Source organism: Homo sapiens, chromosome 5 (assembly GCF_000001405.40).
Source record: "Homo sapiens chromosome 5, GRCh38.p14 Primary Assembly".
NCBI lineage: Eukaryota > Metazoa > Chordata > Mammalia > Primates > Hominidae > Homo > Homo sapiens.
This window is the reverse complement of record NC_000005.10, coordinates 102,580,414-102,600,274: the sequence shown is the minus strand read 5'-3', so window position 1 is coordinate 102,600,274 and position 19,861 is coordinate 102,580,414. Positions and strand designations below refer to the sequence as shown.

Here is a 19,861-nt window from a genome sequence, read left to right as displayed (position 1 = left end):
AAATATAATTGATTACACTTCTTAGAAATAAAAAATATAGTCATTGAAGTAAAAATGTAATTACTTCAGTTATTCATTACAGTTTAAGAAACTACCCCAAAATTTAGTGGCTTAAAACAAGTCTTCTCATGATTCTAGGTTGGGACCTTGGGGGAGTGTTCAGTTAGGAACATTGGCTGGGGTGCCTTATTTAGCTGCGGTCAGACGGTGCCTGGACTGTGCTAGAAGGTCCCAGAAATCCTTCATTCACAAGTCTCAGGCTTTCACCATGTTGCTTTTTTCTGTCCACCTGGTGTTTCATCATGCAGTAATCTAGCTTATGCTTTGTTAAAGCACATTAGCTGGTTTACTGGAGAGAATATGAAGGCAAAAAATGCAAGGCCTCTTGAAGAACTGGCATGGGCACAGTGTCACTGTGCCACAGTCTATTGGTCAGCTGCATATAGGACTGACCTAGGTTCATGGGGAAGGAACACAGACTCAATCTCTCCCTGGCAGGATTGGTAAAGTCTCATTGCAAAAAGCACGTGGGACGGGAGACAGTGTTGTGTTTATCTTTGGAAACACAATCTACTGCTACAATAGACTGAATAAACTCTATAGGAAAAATAATAAATTGGAAGGAATGACCCAGAAAGCAGCACAAAAAAAAAGATAAATAAAATGAAAGAGCAGTTAAGAGAGGAGATTGATAGAAAGAATAGTTGAGGGAATGACAAAGAAGCAATATTTAGTGAGGTTGTTGCTAAACTTTCTCCCAAACTGAAGAAAATAATGAGCCCTAAGATCAAAGTAACTCTGAGTAACAAAATAAATAATGATACATCCATGACTAGAAAACCATAGTCAAACTGCAAAATGTCAAAATTTAAAAAAAAATTTTTAAAGCTACTGGATATTTACCCTATAATAAAATGAGAAATAAAATTTAAACTAATAGATTGCGGAATGCAGTGGAATATTTTCAATGCATGTAGAGATACGTAGATCTTCAATCTAGAATTTGATAACCAGCTAAACTATAAATCTGTAATGTTGGCAAAGGTAAGACATTTTTAGACACTGTAAGCCTTAAAGAGTTTATGATCCATAGATTCCAATTAACTTTGCAAGATGAGACATGAATGAAGGCAAAGGATGCAAGAAACAACAGCAAACATAGAAACTGATAATGTATTGGTAAATTTAATTATGTACAGTTAAAAAAACCTGCAGTTAAAAAAATTCTATATACTAATATTTTAAACAAAATAATATGATAGGGTGTGGTGATGTTAAATATTGCTATGTTGGGAGGAGGATCAGAATGTGGAATAATAGCTTTGTTAGAACAATATATGGCTAATTATACAAGTTAAGATGAAGATCTAAGGTTTAAAAACTAGCACAGATTTAAGTAGAAAATATAGAATACTTTAGCAAATCAACCAAAGGTAAGGGATTAAAAAGAAAAGAAAGAAGTAGAGGTAGTTAACAGAAAACACAAAATAAAGATGTTAGAAATAAGTCCACATACATCAGAAATTGTAATAATATAGATTGATTAAATTCACCTGTTAAAGAATGATGGTTAGATTAAATTTTTAAAATTCCTGCTTTATACTACTTATAGATAAGTTGTATAGCAATGTATAGAAACTATAATTTAAAGCAAAAGGAATGAATAGAGATAGTGACACTACAAAGTAATACAATGAACAATCCATCACAAAGATATAATAATCATAACTGTTTTTCATTCACAATATAGCCTCATATAAAGCCAAAATTGACAGAATTAGAAAGACAATTGGACAGGCCCACAACTAGAGTGAGAGATTTAAAGATGTTCTATGAGAAGTGGGTAACTTCTGATGTAATAGATGAAACGTTAATAATAGAATATAGTAGAACTTTTTTTGTGCCCCATGGGCTCCAGGAGCCCTAAGAGAGTCCTTTTCACTATTGTGACTTCTTGCTGGGCCTGGGGCACCTGGAACACTTCTTTATCCCCTGCATTTGCCTACAGTTGTGAACTGCTTAAAATACTGATAAAACTGATCATGTTCCCGGTCAAATTGGTGAGCAAATATTTAGAAAGGAAACGTAGTGTTCATATAGGAAAAGGAAGAAGGAAATTAGCGCATTCATGTACAATTGCAAGGTTTTTAAATGGGCATAATTTTTTGGCACTATAATTTGGCAATACTCTAAAAAAAACTTTAGAATTTTGCATATATTCCAATTCAGCAATAGCAATCCTAGAAAGTTTTTTTAACAATGTAATTATACAAATGAGCAGGTATATATGCATAAGGAGATTCATCATAGAGTTATGTGTAACAGGCATAGAAAACAACCTAAATGCCCCAAAACATGGAATTGGTTAAAATTTATTTGCAATTATTTGAAAGAATAATATGTGGTATTAATAGAGATATAGAAGTGAGTCAGCCAATAGTTGGTACTTGTAGCATGGCATCATTAACCTGAACCTGTGAAAACATGCTAAGTAGTTTTTTTCTCATTTAATTAAAAGACGGTCTCATGATCCTCTTAATGTCAAGTTCTAAGCAGCCATAATCAGGAGAAGAAATAAAAGAAAACATGAAACTTATGAGCCATACCTATTGCATAAGAATAGCTAATCACATAGAAAAATGTTAATTATGTATTGTTAAGGGGAAAAGGCAGATTACCAGGGAGTATACCTCTGAACACTGATGACTATTAAATTTTCTTTAAAGAATATTTGTGTTGACATATATATAGACAAAAATGTTAGCGTGAGTGTTAAAAGTAATTATTTTCAGCTGGTGGGATTGTATATGACTTTTATTTTTTATTTTTCACAGTGAAGTTGTATTACTTTCATAGTAGAAAATATATTTTTCAAAATATTTTTACTTATTTTTGAGGCCCTAGCATCTAAGAAACCTTCCTCATACTGAATCAATTTCTCCCTTGACTCTTTAGGTGTCTTGAGCCTCTTTCATGGCAGTTATCAAAGTTTGACCTTTGTTGGAGTAATCTATATATGTGTGTCTTCCTCCTCATCTAGATTGGAATTTCTGGGGTGTAGTGACTCACACTACTCCACACAAGTGGATTGCTCTTAATAGGTGCTAGGACACATAGTGTTGAATTGAATTGAATGAACTTTTGGAATACACTTTCATCTAAGTCAGATAGCAATAACTCAATACACCACATGCTCAAGTACAGAGTCAGTAATTGGAAACTCTAATTCCAAGTGACTATAGAGTGTTGAAAGGAAACAAACTGACTTGTTGGGCTCAGTGAACTTCTTTAATCCTTATATAAAACTTTTCCCGTACAACATTTTCATTTCGTGCAAGCAAAGGTATATTTTTTACTTCTACTGTTTGGAACTTGGTAGGATGAATATTTTACATAGGATGGACCATTTAGTTAAGATGGACAATCTGGGCAAACATTCCAGTTTTCTGTTTGTAACTGAGGAAGAACAGTTCATCTTTTCAGAAGTTTTTGGAGTCAGCATATGTAGACAGTTTTTAACCTCTGAACCCTGATGGGCATGATGTGTCATTGTTAAGAAAGGCTGGGCTGGAATAATTTCTCCACTGGGAAGAATATTCAGTGATCCAGAAAAAGTTACCTACTCTCATGCCTTTGTCTGTATTTTTAAAACTAATTTCTGATAGAATGTACCTAAAGAAGAAGTACTCTAAAGTCAGGACGGAAGTGGAGCACAAGAGAGAAACTTCCAGGACACACTTACTGGTACAAAAAGAGAACTTGAAAAGCTAACCTGGGCCTGAAATAAAGACACTGGAGCTGAAGAGTAGAAATATCCTTATTTCTAGGAGAATTAAGCTAAATCTTATTATCAGCTAATATTTTCTTAAGTTAAGGCTTACATAACAATACAACAACAAGTCACAGTGCTGGAGTCTCTTTTGTTCACTGTTCTGCTTTTACATTAGTCATTACCAAGCCACTTCAGGAAGGAAAAAGTACCTTCTTTTTAATGAGCTTCAAAAAACGAAAGTACATAACCTTTGCGGGTAAAGTATTCCAAAGCTGAGCAACACTTGCTTTAAACAGAAAATAACGTTATGTATATAAATAACTGACAGTAAAATTGAAGTCTATGTCCTTTTGTTCTAAGCTTAATGGATGTGGGACTTGTGATCCTGGTTCTCAGTATTCTAAAACTTCATTTATATGACAACTGGCACCAGCACCAAAGTTATAATTATTATGGAGATGGCAATAGAAGATTTAGATATGTCTAAAGTTTACTGCAGTCTTTCCAATTATTTGTAGGTGGTTAAAGTTGGTCGTTGAGATGGCAGAATCACTACGCCTATATCCACGTGTAATTTTGTGTGGATCATGAAGAAGAGAAAGAACTGCATCCATGCAAATAAAGTAGAACATAATTAACAATTCTTACTACTTTCTCTTCTCCAAGGTAAATAACCTAGCTGATTTTTTTTCTTCAGAAGACTTCATTTCATAGAAACATGGCATTTAATAGCCAGACAGGATTGATAAAATCATCTAGACTAATCCATAATTTCCTAGGCAAAGAAACTGTAGGGCTAGGGAGTTTTAGTTAGTGAAAGAGCTGGTATGGCAGGAGCACAAGGCTTCTGACTTCTGGTCCTGGGCTTTTAACATCATTTCATTGTATTGTTCTGCCACTTCCCCTAGACATTTTTTCCCCATTAGAGATATGTGTACACCAGGACCTAAGTTAGTGCTACTCTAAGTGTAGTTCTTGGACCTGTGTTGACTCATGACTGTTACTGATCAATGATGAGATAAGTAAATGCATTGAAAGTATTTAGAAACTCTTATAAGCCTGTCAAATTATTTGACAGAATAATTTATGTCTTTGAATGTAGCAATAAACAATTTGGACCAGTGGTTTTTTATGTCTAATTATGTAATTTTATTTACCTAGAAATTCTTTTCTATAGTATTTTATAAATACACTGATCTTTGCTGGATTAGAAATAAAAATTGGGCCATTGCCACAGATGGATGGAGAAGCACTAATTTAAGTGGGACATTGGGTTTTCCTAACAATTATTGGGGCATTAACAGAACAGAATGTCTACAAACTTATAAAAGTAATTGAAAAGAGTGTGCTTAGTATTTTCATTATGGTTGGAGTTTGACATTGAAGTGACTAGTTTGTGGAAAATAAGATAGGAGAAGCTGAAGAGCATTGAGCTATGACACATTTTTATGGCACTCCACTAATTACTCTCTAGTTCAAGTTCTTTCAGTTCAAGTTCTTTCAGTAATGTGATTTTTTTTGGCCAAGTTCAAGAAATCTTTTAACAATTCATAGCATATGGGACAATTATTATACACTATTGCTCAAATATATTTTCCACCATATTTTTAAATACACAGTTAAGTTTACATTCTTTTCCTTAATTTTGAAATTTCTGCCTAAGTCTGCTAGTATTTGTCCTTACTTACATAGTCAAGTTTATTATAATCAGTAGTCTGATTTCATCATGATTGCAAAAGGTCTAATTCAGTCCTCTGGACTTTCTTTCACCTATAGATTCTGTAAGCATAATTGCTTCCCAATATCCAAGTCAAAGAAAAACACAAGGATTTTTTATCATAGTATCAGTCTCAATTAAATATTCCTGGATATTCTCCCAAGGTTGTTGATATAGTTTGGCTCTGTGTCCCTACTCAAATCTCATCTTGACATGTAACTCCCACAATTCCCACCTGTGATGGGAGTAACCCAGTGGTAGGTGATTGAATTATGGGAGCAGGTCTTTCCTGCAGTGTTCTCATGATAGTGAATGAGTCTCACGAGATCTGATGGGTTTTAAAACAGCAGTTTCCATGCTCAAGTTCCTTCCTTTGCCTGCTGCCATCCATGTAAGATGTGACTTGCTCCTCCTTGCCTTCTGCCATGATTGTGAGGCTTCCCCAGCCATATGGAACTCTAAGTCCAATTAAACTTCTTTCTTTAGTAAATTGCCCAGTCTTGGGTATGTCTTTAACAGCAGTATGAAAATGGACTAATACAGTAAATTGGTACAAGGAATGGGATGTTGATGATTAGATACCCAAAAATGTGGAAGCAACTTTGGAACTGGGTAACAGGCAGAGATTAGAACAGTTTGGAGGGATCAGAAGAAGACAGGAAAATGTGGGAAAGTTTGGAACTTCCTAGAGACTTGTTGAATGGGTTTTACCAAAAGCCTGATAGCAATATGGACAATAAGGTCCAGGCTTAGGTGGTCTCAGATGGAGATGAGGTAATTGTTGGGAACTGGAGCAAAGGTTACTCTTGTTATGTTTTAGCAAAGAGGCTGGCAGCATTTTGCTCCTGCGCTAGGGATTTGTGGAATTTTTCTACTTGAGAGAGATGATTTAGGGTATCTGGTGGAAGAAATTTCTAAGCAGCAAAGCATTCAAGATGTGACTGTTAAAGGCATTCAGTTTTATATGGAAAGCAGAGCATAAAATTTCAGAAAATTTGCAGCCTCACAATGCAGTAAAACAGAAAAACCTATTTTCCGAGGAGAAATTCAAGCCTGCTGCAGAAAGTCGCATAGGTAATGAGGAGTCAAATGTTAATCCCCAACACAATGGGGATAATGTCTCCAGGGCCTGTCAGAGGTCTTCACAGCATCCCCTCCCATCACAGGCCTGGAGGTCTAGGAGGAAATGGTTTCATGGGCTGGGCCCAGGGTCCCTGTGCTGTGTGAAGCCTAGAGACTTGGTGCCCTGTGTCCCAGACACTCCAGCTGTGGCTGAAAGGGGCCAATGTAGAGCTCAGGCCATGGTTTCAGAGGGTGCAAGCCCCAAGCCTTGTCATCTTCCACATGGTGTTGAGCCTGCAAGTGCACAGAAGTCAGTAATTTGGTTTTGGGAACCTCTGCCTAGATTTCAGAACATGTACGGAAATGCCTCGATGCCCAGGCAGAAGTTTGGTGCAGTGGTTGGGCTTTCATGGAGAACCTCTGCTCAGGCAGTGCAGAAGGAAAACATGGGGTGAGAGCACCCACACAGAGTCCCTACTGGGGCACTGCCTAATGGAGTTGTGAGAAGAGAGCCACTGTCCTTCAGACCCCAGAATGATAGATCCACTGACAGCTTGCATTGTTCACCTGGAAAATCAACAGACACTCAACACCAGCCCATGAAAGCAGCCAAAAGGGAGGCTGTACCCTGCAAAGCCACAGGGGCAGAGCTGCCCAAGACCATGGGAACCCACCTCTTGCATCAGTGTGATCTGGATGTGAGACCTCAAGTTAAAGGAGATAATTATGGAGCTTTAAAATTTGACTGCCTTGCTGGATTTTGGACTTGCATAGGCCCCGTAACAATTTTGTTTTGGCCAATTTCTCCCATTTAGAATGGCTGTATTTACCCAATACCTGTACCCTCATTGTATCTAGGAAGTAACTAGCTTGCTTTTGATTTTACAGGCTCATAGGCGGAAGGAACTTGCCTTGTCTCAGATGAGACTTTGGACTGTGGACTTTTGGGTTAATGCTTAAATGAGTTACGAGTTTGGGAGACTATTGGAAAGGCATGATTGGTTTTGAAATGTGAGGACATGAGATTTGGTGGAGCCAGGGGCAGAATGATATGATTTGGCTCTGTGTCCCCACCTAAATGTCATCTTGAATTGTAATTCCCACAATTCCCATGTGTCATGGGAGGAACCCAGTGGGAGGTGATTGAATTATGGGGGCAGGTCTTTCCTGTGCTGTTCTTGTGATAGTGAATGAGTCTCACGAGATCTGATGGGTTTAAAAACAGAAGTTTCCAGCCGAGGCAGGTGGATCACAAGGTCAGGAGTTCAAGGAGAGCCTGGCCAAAATGGTGAAACCCTGTCTCTACTAAAAACACAAAAATTAGGCAGGTGTGGTGGCGGACACCTATAATCCCAGCTACTCAGGAAGCTGAGGCAAGAGAATTGCTTGAACCTGGGTGGCAGAGGTTGCAGTGAGCTGAGATCGCACCACTGCACTTTAGCCTGGGCGACACAGTGAGACACCATCTCAAAACAAACAAACAAACAAACACAAGAGTTTCCATGCACAAGCTCCTCTCTTTGCCTGCTGCCACCATATAAGATGTGACTTGCTCCTCCTTGCCTTCTGCCATGATTGTGAGGCTTCCCCAGCCACATGGAACTGTAAGTCCAATGAAACCTCTTTCTTTAGTAAATTGCCCAGTCTTGGGTATGTCTTTATCAGCAGTGTGAAAATGGACTAATATAGTTGTTAATGACTTAACTGATAACTGCTCCCTCAGACACTCCAACCATTTATTAACCCACATAACACAATAAGAGAAGACTCCTAGCCACCTCGACTACCTAGCAGTTGAAACCTGAAAGTGAAAAAACTGTGAGCATGAGTAAGACAGCTATCATAAAAGCTGTAATGATTCTAAATGCCAGGTCGTAGCATGGAGCTGCCTCAAGTCAGTATCAAGTCTTGGTGTTATGTGTAGCCTCAGATCGGTAACTGATACTATTCCTTTAGTCTTGAATAGCCTACACACCCTGGACACAGACCCCTCAGACGCCACTTCCTCTGTCAAGTTCATTTTAAGACTTTCATTCTCAGTGCACTGACAGAGTTTTGCACGTATTTCAATGGCTTTTCTCTAACATTCCTGTACTTTTTTGCTTACATGTCTGCCTGTTAGAGTTTTCCAATAAACAGATAGAAAGCAGGCAGTTTCATGTATACTTGTGTCCTTAGCACCTAGTGCATAATAAGCATTCCACAGAATTTGTTGAAGAAATTATTAGATGGTTATCTGATTTTCCCTTCAGTTCTTCTAAGTATAAAATCACACATGTGGCCCCAGCTAGTATATATTTTCTGTAGTCATAAAATCCACATACAACCATAGTATTTCTGTCTATCAATAGGTAGCAGTTTCATCTTGAAAATATCTATGATTCCAATAGGAATTATAAAAGGGGATGGAGTAGACGGTGCTTGGGTCAAGAATAAAGCTCACGCCTGAATTCGTGTTTCTGGTGTCATTTTATTAGCCTACCTGCCCTGATGTTTGACTCTTACTTGCCTTGATCAATGAAGAACTGATTGGCTCTTCCCTCCAGCCAGGCATATCCCTTCCCTTCCTACCTTCTGCAGCACATCTTTTCCCTTCCTGCCTCTTCCAGACTGTCTCATGTCCAGTGCACACTGTTCTTGTTTCCTGTTATTATTAACTTGGAGTATCTGCCCCATATAAGTTATTAAGTATGAAATGTGAGCAGTAAATATGAAATCTTGAATTTATACCAGGCCGGTAGTTTGTTAGGCATCTTATTATATACAGTGGGCATATGGAAGAGCAATGTGTAATCTTTGCTCTTGAGGGACTCACAATTTAGTGGGAAATAGAAGGATTACTATTAAATTACCTAGTACTATCATTAATTGAGCAGTCACTCTGCCAAGTCTTTTACTTGTATAATCCCATTAATTTTTCATTAGATGATACTATTATTATTCCCATTTTGCAGATAAGGAAAGTGAATCTTGGGGAGATTGTGCAAATTGCCCAAGATCGCATTCCTTGTAAGAAACAGAATGAGGATTTAAACTTAAGGTGTTTGAATAGCAAGTCTGCACACGTAACTGTGTCATAATGCCTCTCTATAGATATTTCAACATCTCTTTTCCTAACTCATCTAAAAATTTCACTGTGGAAAAGAAGGAGAGTAGACCTCATTTTCCAATTATGTTTGATAAATTAGCAGATACTATAGCTGCCATGCGGAAACTTATTTTCCTGTAATATTGATGGAGAGTATCATGCAGGATCTTAAGTAAATTTTCAAGAGACTAAAATCTGTATCTCCGCTCTAATATGCCAGGACCAACACCTTACCATTGATTAAATTATTATTTTACATTTATTATTTAAGAAAATAAACAGATAATCACCCATTGCCCTGTTTTTTATAAGGGTCTTGCCAATCATTTTTGCTTGATTTCCTCTCACTATTCTTTCCAGCTAAGTTTTTTGCTTTATGATTTTCTAGGTTATTACTGCATTTTCCTTTTTGAAGCAGAAGTAGAGGTTCTTTTGAACCTTCTTAAACCTGTCCAATCTTGTTCAAGTTCTCAAACACAACAGCCATTTGACCCATAAGGTCTCTGGTAATTTCATAAACACTTCATTATGAAAATAATCAGGCACTACAGACTTGAACTCATTAAGTTCCTCCCAGGTCTCCTCCTATTGTGGCTTGATTTCTTGCCCTTCCATCTTCTGTGAGATCTGTTCTGTTTCCAATTACAGTTCATTTTACTAACACGATTTGTTTTTAGTATTAGCTATGATTAGTTTTCTATTGTGCTATAACAATAACAACAACAAAAAGACATCCAAGACACAATGTCTTCTTTGTCCTTCCAACCCTGAGAAATGAATCATATTGGGTTAGAGCCATGTTTTCCCTTAGTCTAGCAAATCCTTGTCTTTCTTATTCGAATGTGACTGGCAGTAAGTAAGCAGTGAAAAATTTCTTCTCTACTTTATGTGCTAATGTTGCTCTGGTGCTTTTTGCCTCATAAACTAAAAACAGAAACCACAAAATTTGTTGAAAAAAATAGATATTTATAATTCACTGGTGAATTAATGTATAGGTGAGAGATTGATGTGAATTTTTGAGTGCTATTTATAAGTCACTTTCTGCCATATTTGAAACTCTGTACTTATCTTGATAATCCCATTACCCAAGGAGAAGCAACAGTTAATTCAATTTATTTAAATGAAACCAACATGTTGAATTTTGCCAAATATTTGATTATTAATGCTGCAATTAGATTTTTCTGTTTTTAATAGAATTTTAATAATGAAAATTATGCTGCTTGGTTTGTGAAACAAACCAAGCAGCAGAATTTCTTGATGATTTCATAACAATAAAGATTTCTGTATCAAAGAATATTATTTTATCATAAGCTGCTCACACAGTATAATGTGGTACATTAGTTAAGTTCCTCTAGAACAAATGAGATCTATGTATCTATATATTATCTTGATATTATATATTTATATCATCTTGAGATATATATCTCTATATATTATCTTGATATATCTATATGTTATCTTGATATGTATATATAATCTTGATATATATATATATATTTCAAGAGATTATTTCGAGTAATTGGCTTATATGATCGTGGGAGTTGGCAATTCTAAAATCTGCGTGGAAGGATGGCAGGCTGGAAATCCAGGGAAGAGTTCATGTTGTGGCTCCAGTCTGAAGGCAGTCTGCTAGTGGAATTCCTTCTTCCTTGATAGACCTCAGTGTTTTCTCTTATGGCCTTTAACTGATTAGGTAAGACCAAACCACATTATGGAGAGTGATCTGCTTTACTCCAAGTCTAACAATTTAAATGTTAAACATACCTAAAATATATTTTCGTATCAATGTGTAGACTGGTGTTTGACCAAAAATTTGGGCACGTCAACCTAAACAAGTTCGCACATAAAATTAACCATCACAAGTGGCTAACCAGTTCTTAATTTTAATTGCCACAAAATTTAAAGACAGTATTCAAAATAATTAAGGAAAAATCCTTTCCAAATGGATGCAAGAACATTTTATAAGATCACTATAAGAAAAGAGAGCAAACTGAAGTCATTTTTCTCTAGTTCTCTATACTTCAGGCGTAAGTATTTTTTCAAATGTGAAAATGGAGTTTACAGTTAAGAAGCCAGATGACTGGAAAGAAGACTGTGTTAACGCTGAGGAAAATTAAGGCAAAAGTTATTGTCATTACTTTGAAAAAGAAATAAGTAGAAACATCCACACACAAATTTCTTAACTCCTCTCTTAAGCTGTAAACTGCTTATGAATAAGGATTACATATCACATTTTTTCTGCTCTTTGTGGATCTTAGCATATTGTTGGATATTTAAGTAAGAGAGAGAATCTCTACAAAAGTTAACCCACAGATTCAGTAGACAAAAGGACCAAGTAAAGCCAAAAGGGCATCAAGGATGGAGTAAAGTGTAGAGGTTTGAGTGACTGCAAAGCACGAGAGGAAGGAGTTCTATGAGTTGTGAGGAGAAAGAGGCTGTGGTGGAGAAAAAGTGCAGTGAACTTGATATCTTGGTTGTAGTGTAGTGCTTTTAGATAATGTGATCCGTCCGCAAGGTAAATGTCCAGAGATAGAGGTAGATGCATGTCATTGATGAAAGGAGGGGCATGAATAGCATGATACTGAGGTGGCTCATAATTCATAAATACATTTTTTGTTACTTAGAATGATGACAAATAATGGCGGTTGTGAAGAAAAATGTGTGCTCAGTACCATATTATCTAGAAAGGTGGGAGAAGTTTCTGGAAGTTATAGATGAAGGCAGCATTGTCATTATGAAGGTAATTGACAGATGTTTATGAAGGAGGTAGGCCAAAGCAGCACCTTTGGAAGGCATTGGGACCTTTAGAAATGAGAAGCCAAGAGAAGGTGTTCCTTCATGACTCCTAAATGGCGCTGGGAATGGAAAATTGTGACAGTTCAAGTTCTGAGTTTAAAAAAGGGTTGAAGTGAAATATGTACTGCATGATGTGGGAGTATTCAAGGGAGGCAACTAAGGTGAAAAATCTGGGTCAAGAGTAGTTGAGAACACCATTGTAAAAACAATGAATTGGGAGTAAACAAAGATATATTCAAGACATAATTCTTTTCTAGAAATATTGGGGGATCTAATGCTTTATGAACCCTGCTATACACATATACACACAAACTCACACACTAATCAGCAATGCCTTAAATTCTATTAAAAAAATTGAAAGTAAAGTTAAAATTCTGAAGAGCAGCACAATATTTCATTTAATTGCTAATATTTAAGGACATTGATTTCAAACCATCTATGCGTATAAAATATTTTTTAAAATTTAAATATTTGCTGAGTTCCAAAGAATGTTATATATTGCTAATGTATATGCAAAGTATTACACTGAGTTTAGAATCAAATTTCCTGTTCAGTAAATTAAAAATCTTATCAATGATAGATAAGAGTTGGGAAATAGGATGCTGAGTAAAAGTGAAAATAAAATAGAGCAATTAGTATTCTCCAACCCACTAAGGTGGATGAATGAAAACTGTTACCAGGTAGCTCTTGGCACATGAATGATGGATGGTGAATTTACAGTGCTAAAATAAATCCAACTGATAATTTACCTATTAGACATTCTGCTCTCAATACTGTTTTGAATCAAGACATTTACTAATACAAGCATCAGATTCTGAGTTCATTAATGATACATGGACACATCTGCCTTTCATCATGTGATTCATCTCTAAAGGCAAATTCAGGTAGAATGCTGGCCTTATTTCACAGAAGAGCTTTAGTTCAGAGAACAGTTTAGTTCAGAGCTAAGAGCTTATCTTAAAGGTATCCGAGTCCTTTGATAGGCTTCTGGCATTTGTTGCTTGCTCTCATGCCTTTCATGCTGAAGCTTTTGTCTCCTTTGAGGGTTTGTTCTAAAGAGCAGGCATAGAGAAACACTTCTATGTACCTGGCTATGCCAATTGCTCCATCACATTTGGGGTACCAATAACTTTGGGAATCCACCCATCTCATTACTGCACAAAGAACAATCAACTCAATTCTTTCCTTCTTATTCTGCAGACTGTGGCAACATACGCTCTGTGGGGAAAAGCATAAATGCTCTCTGCCTCACCTCAAGGGAGGAGGCTTTATTCTATCTTCCCTACATAAACCTGACAAGGGCAGGTTTCAGCAACACAACTTTGACCTGTGGGGTTGCAGAACTGGACTAAATAACTCTGAGCACCTGTGAAAGTCCTCTGGGGAATGTCTTTTCCAAGACAATGTTGTATTCCTTGAAAATGTATAAAGAAAAAACCCTGAGCTTGAAATGAAAAGGCATGATTTTGAGTCTAGCCCTACAACTTGCTAGCTGTGTAACATTAGGCAAGCCGCCTTTCTGAGTCTCCTTTTGATATGAGAATAATAAGGATTACCTCCAAGCTGATGTGTAGAAGTCATGAGCTAGTAGATGAGCAATTACCTGGCAAAGATCCTGGTCTCAAAAAATGCTGATCAATAAATGCTAACCCTAAGATGTCCTTAGTAGACATTTGGTAGAAGGCCAAGCATATTGTTAAGTGTTTTCCAGATACCATCTCATTTAATCCTCCCAGCCATCTGGCGAGGTAGTCGTCGTCTGTCTTCATAAACTTGGTGAGAAAAGGAAAGCTGAGAGAATTAAAATAACTTACCCAAGTCACCCAAGAGTAAGTATAAATCATGGAATTTGAACTCATCTGACAACACACTCTTTCCTTTAGCATCTATTGGCTCTGAATTTGAAGTAGAAAATTAAACAGCTTTAAAAAGGAATAGGTTGGAGCTCTATAGAACTCCTGTTCTCATATCCAGGTTACTTGACACTTCTCTTGCCTGACAATTACTCTCTGATATTTCCCCAAAAGTCATTAGAATCTAAGCGCTTGAGAATCTAAGTTTTATTCTTTTTATTATGTTTTTTGTATAGACTACAGTGTCTGCAACGTAGTAGAACATTAGTAAAAGGTTTTTGAATGATGAATAATTTCATGTGTTGGCTGGGGTAAAGATTTGGGACTGTATGGGGGAAGTAAGGCCTGTAACTATTCAAGAGACATAAAGTAAATAATGACTGTGGATTCAAACGTGACACTCTCAGAACTAGTAAGAGCTTAGAAAAGTGTTCTGGACTGCTGGGTCATTCCAAAGATTCATTAGACCAGCAATTAACCAAAAAACTAGCCCAAATCTCATGCAGACCTTGGGATGATTTGGGTTTATTTGACATTCGTTGTTAAACTGGCGCTGATTTCATGACCCAGAAATCCTAATGTCTCTTCAGGTTTCTTTGATGCAGGTCATTCACATCCCAATAATATCATGCAAGCTGTAGAAGTGTATTCAGAATTGGCAGCAATTAAAGGGAAGAGAGTTAAAGGGAGGTAATAGATACTGTGATTTATGGGAAAATAACGCTTCTCTTGCAATTCTATTGCAAGAAGGGATCTACAGAATTAGAAAAAGAAATCATAATACCATTTCAAAATAATGGATTAAATCTTTGTAGGAACTAGTAATAACTTCAAGGGCCTTGCTTAAGGGAAGGGGGCTGTATCTGTTGGGCATTAATTCTGAAGGTTTTTATTCCCTTTGAGGCATCCTATGATCTCTATTCAATAAAGGAGCAAAAAACACCCAGTAATTGATGGCTGTCCTCGTCAGCTGGGGACATTTGCAGGTTTGGGAGAAGGAGAAAATGGGGCTGGAGTGAAAAGTTGGAAGCAGCCCACTGGATAATAGAAGAGAAGAAAATTATAGATCAAAGGATCTAGCTAGCATTTTTTAAAAAGGAGTTTCGGACCTACTCCATTCTCTTCTGTTAGGGTCCTAACAGTTGTAGTTTCTGCTTTTTGAGACACTGTTTTAGCACATAATGGGACACAAGTTTTAAGTTAATTTCTTCTAAAGTACTGACAATTTAAATTTACCTTTAAAAAAATTATTGCTTCCTGAGCTGGTATACTCTTATCAGATAACAACTTCTCAGTAAATAGATGTTTAAAAAATTAAAACTCTCCTTAGATTAACACGTAAACAATTATGATTTCAAGTTCTAATGTTTCTTAGAAAACAAGGTTGTAGGTCCCTTAATATTCACAAGACTTGGGATTCTGAAAAGGAAGTAGTATAGTTCAGTGGGGAAAAATCAAACAAAAATGTTATCTAATTTAATAATCAGATACCTTTTATTCTAGTTCAAATCTTATATGAATAACATATCTCAATCTCAATCCACATTTAAAAAAGCTATCTGTCACATAGAGTAGTACTCTCAGGTCTGAATTTCTATAACAGATATTTCCAAGTTATTCTGCCTTCCTTTCCCACAAACTCAAGCAGTTTTATGTATTTGTGGTATGAAAGTTTTAGTTCCATTATTTAGCACAACCTGCAAGGTATTTACATATGTTGCGATTGTAACCATCTAACGATGTAGGTCTGTTGCGTAAGAAAGGGTTATTACTGTATGGAGGTTAAAAAAAAAAAACTCCAAAAACCAAACAAAACAAATAGATGCATCCATTCCATTGTTGATGTCATGACTAGGTGTTGGGAGGATAAATGAGGGAATGAAAGAAGCTCTTGAGTTCTGGGGAGGACAGCTGCTTCATGCAGGCAAGACATCATTATTATTAATTATCTTTATTCACTTTCAAACCATCTGTTTCCAAACATGGGCACGTGTGGCCCTATTTTCCTATCTCAGTGCCCCCTAGTGTGTACCTTATACATATTTAATCTTCAACTGATTTCAAAGGAAGCAACATTATGTACAGATGGATGGCGCTGGAACAAAGGACAGACATTAATTCATTTCTTTGATGATTTTTTTTTTGTTTGAGACAAGATCGTTCATTCATATTAAACTATTGCTGATGGTATTATGCTAGTAGTTTTTCTTTAACCTTAAGAAAACTAAATAATGCCATCTGGTGGTGAAAATAAATATTCTGGAGGGTATTTCCAGAATTTGTTTATTTCATTTTTTTGTATTTTAATATCTTCATTACTGTAATAGTTTTTAACGAGTTGACTGAAGTCATTAGAAAGTAGAATAAAGATTTTACACAAAAGATAGAAATAAATAGTTTGGAATATATCTAGCCAGATCTAATTATACAGTGATAAAATTCCCAATTCAAGTTCTTTTCACCCATAAAGAGTGGTGACAGATTATGCAAAACCGTGGAGCTGGTTCTCTTCTTAAGTAACTGAGAGTAGTAATTTCCTGGCATCTGATACTATCATTTCTTCTGTAGTCACAATAAATAAAATGATATCCAGCCATGAAATTCAGTACTGCTCTCATGGGTGATAGACCAACTTCCTGATAAGATATGATGCTTTTATTGATTCCCTCTCAATTTTGCTCACCTTTGGAATTCAGGTCATGTCTGAAACCTAGAGGGGTATACTTGCTGGAAGATTTTGTTTTGTTTTTGTTTGTTTGTTTACATGAGAACCTGATGAGTCTGCTATGATAACTCAATGGGGCTGAAACTGGAGACCTGTATAAGTGAAAGATTATATTTTACTTAGGATCCACTCTCTCTCACCCTTTCTGTCCTCTAAAGACTAGGGTATGTCCCAAGAGAGAATTTGTCACACAGGGAAATGTCTTCAGACAACAAATTTCACTGAAAGTTGGCTTTTTCTAGGGTAACAAGGAGGAAATAGGGCTGGCACAAAGACAGTGTTCAATAAATATTTGTTGAATTACATCAAAATGAAGAATATTTCTTCCCTCGAAGCCCTTGTAAGAGAAGACTTCAACCAAAATGAAATTTCTGAAATGCCAATGAACCACATCTCTCTGTTGCTTAAAGTCTTGCAATGGCTTCATAATCCACTCCAAATTCCTCACAAGGCCACCCATAATACGGTCCTTGTATACCTTTTGACTCATATTCTGTCATTCATCATTCCCCCCACTCGACTTCTCTGCTTTAACACAAACATATATCCATGTGCATGCATGTACACACACACACACACTGAAATAGATCTATCCCACCCCCCAAAGCCAGTGTTCTGTTTAGCCTTTGCTGACCAAAGCACTCTTTCTTACTTTACCTAGTAAACTTTTAATCATTTTGAAAGATTCAGTTCAAACACTGCACTACTTCCACTAGGAATCTTTTCTTGAGTTTCTCATGTGGACAGTAGTGCTTTATCCTCCATGCTCGGAGAACCTCATATACATACTCCAAAAAAATACAGTTACTTTGCTAAAATTGTTTCCATGGACATCTTCACTATACCATGTGTTTCTCAAGAGCAAGGGCTACATTCTATTTGTTTAAAATCATTTTTAAATGTTTTGAGTGGTAATTGACCCCCATTAGGTACTTATTAAATGCAAGCTAAAGGCATGAATAATTGGTAGCAGATATTGCTAATCAAGCTCCAACATCCAGTCTTTCTTCTTATTTAATAGAACTCCAACCCACTTCAACCTCTCCGTAGCTACCCACCTAGGGAAGGTCCTATGACAAAGCTCTCACCGTGAGATATAACTGGATAAGATATGTGATGCTTCCTCCTTGCAACGTCCTTATTAAGAAACTGCTGTTCTTAAATTCTTTTGTCTTTTCTGCTTCTCACAGACTGAAAACAGGTGACAACTGGCAGTTTCCTTGGACTTAGTGATGGAAATGAATGTTGATGTTGGCTGAGCTCTCCTGACAGCCTGGGAACCTGCAGAAACTTGGTGACCAGACCACCCTACTTTGGGTTATGTTAGAGAAAAATACATCCTGTCATATTTAAGCCACTGTATTTTGGGGTCCCTTTATTACAGCAATTCAGGTGATGCCCTAATTAGTACACGGTTGAAATGGAAACTATTTTCTATGATATTGAAGCTTTATTTTCTCAGCATTGTACCATAGAAAATATTTCCATTTCTATTATGTATCAGGATATAACCTAGAAATACGTCATGGAAAACAATTAAATATTACTTTTACAGATAAGCTTCAAAACACTATCAAATTTCTATTTATTGCCTGTAGAACTTAAATTATCATTAAAAATTAAAAGGCAACTATTTCCAAGAGTAGAAACTTTATTTACAATCTTTAAAAATATCCTCTAGTCTTAAGACCCTACCTTGTTTTTAGCTTCTGTGTCTTCTTCCCTCATTGAAGAATCAGTCATTCACTTTAGGCACAGCCTTGTGTTATATGTTAGGAAAATCTTGACCTTGGATGGAAGAGAGAAAAGGAACTCCAGAATGACAGCCAGGTATTAATTGCTAGCATTACCTTCAGCAGCACTTAACACTGTTGTGCTTTTTCTTCTGAAACCTAATATTCATTCTTCTTTCTGGCCCTGGTATCTGAAACCATGTTTTAGAAACCTGAATAGCAACTGAAATGCTGTAAGGCTGGAATTGCATTCTTGCAATTGCCAGTGACCTGATTCAGGATACATTCCCTTGATCTAGATCATATGACTTATTTCTTGACCAACCTGTTAGAAATTTCCACTCTGGTGATTTTCCTCCAGTATGTACCACTGGGTATCTGTTACTATACTCTGTACATTTGTCTTTTGCTTATCAGGAGGCTATTATCATACCTAAAATCTGTGTTTGTCCCCTATTTCACTTGAGTGCCTGACACTTTCAGATGAAAAAGTCTTGGTTCCTCTTAGTATTCCTTTGTTTCCACTGGAGTTAAGGGTCAGTAATGAGAATGTCCTGAGATATAATGATATTGGTGAGTAGCTTCCAATTTGTCATTAATATATCATTAATATATATATATTTATTAAAGAATTTCATTGCAAAACATTAGGCTTTTGGGCAATATTGTCTTTAGCAATTGCCTTCAATCTAAGGTTGAAGGTATGCAAAACCATCATAGTGAACACTGTAATTTATCCCTGCCCTATACTTTCCTTTTCTCTCATAAATTATGTGGACTTTTTGGCCTTTTGTTAATTGCTTCTCTCTCATCTAGCTAGTCTAGCAATCAAATGTCCCTCCTTCTTCTTTTATAGAGGTAGGCATGTGAGCAGGGCTGAGCAGTGAGTGGCCTGGAATGTTGATTGATCCAAGGATAGGAAAATGGCTTAAGCAAGGCCTCAATATCCTTTCAAGAACTGATGTAGTTGCTAGAAGACAGAGAGTTTTTTTTCTCACCTTCTGAGATCATGTGTCATAAGAGCATTCAACCTGGAGAGGCAAATGACCAAGAAATAGAGAGAAAATAGGTTCCTGCCAACATCTTCTGAACATCCGGACTACGATTATTTTTCC

General features: G+C 36.6%; 1 long non-coding RNA gene across 1 annotated transcript in view; it reads right to left on the bottom strand.

Annotated features, from left to right (window-relative positions):
• LINC00492 (long intergenic non-protein coding RNA 492) overlaps window positions 1-18,907 on the bottom strand; it is a 36,222-nt gene extending 17,315 nt beyond the window's left edge. Inside the window, exon 1 of the long non-coding RNA NR_047462.1 lies at window positions 18,709-18,907. This is a non-coding gene — a long non-coding RNA (long intergenic non-protein coding RNA 492). The remainder of the gene's footprint in view (window positions 1-18,708) is intronic.
• Window positions 18,908-19,861: the final 954 nt, after the last annotated feature.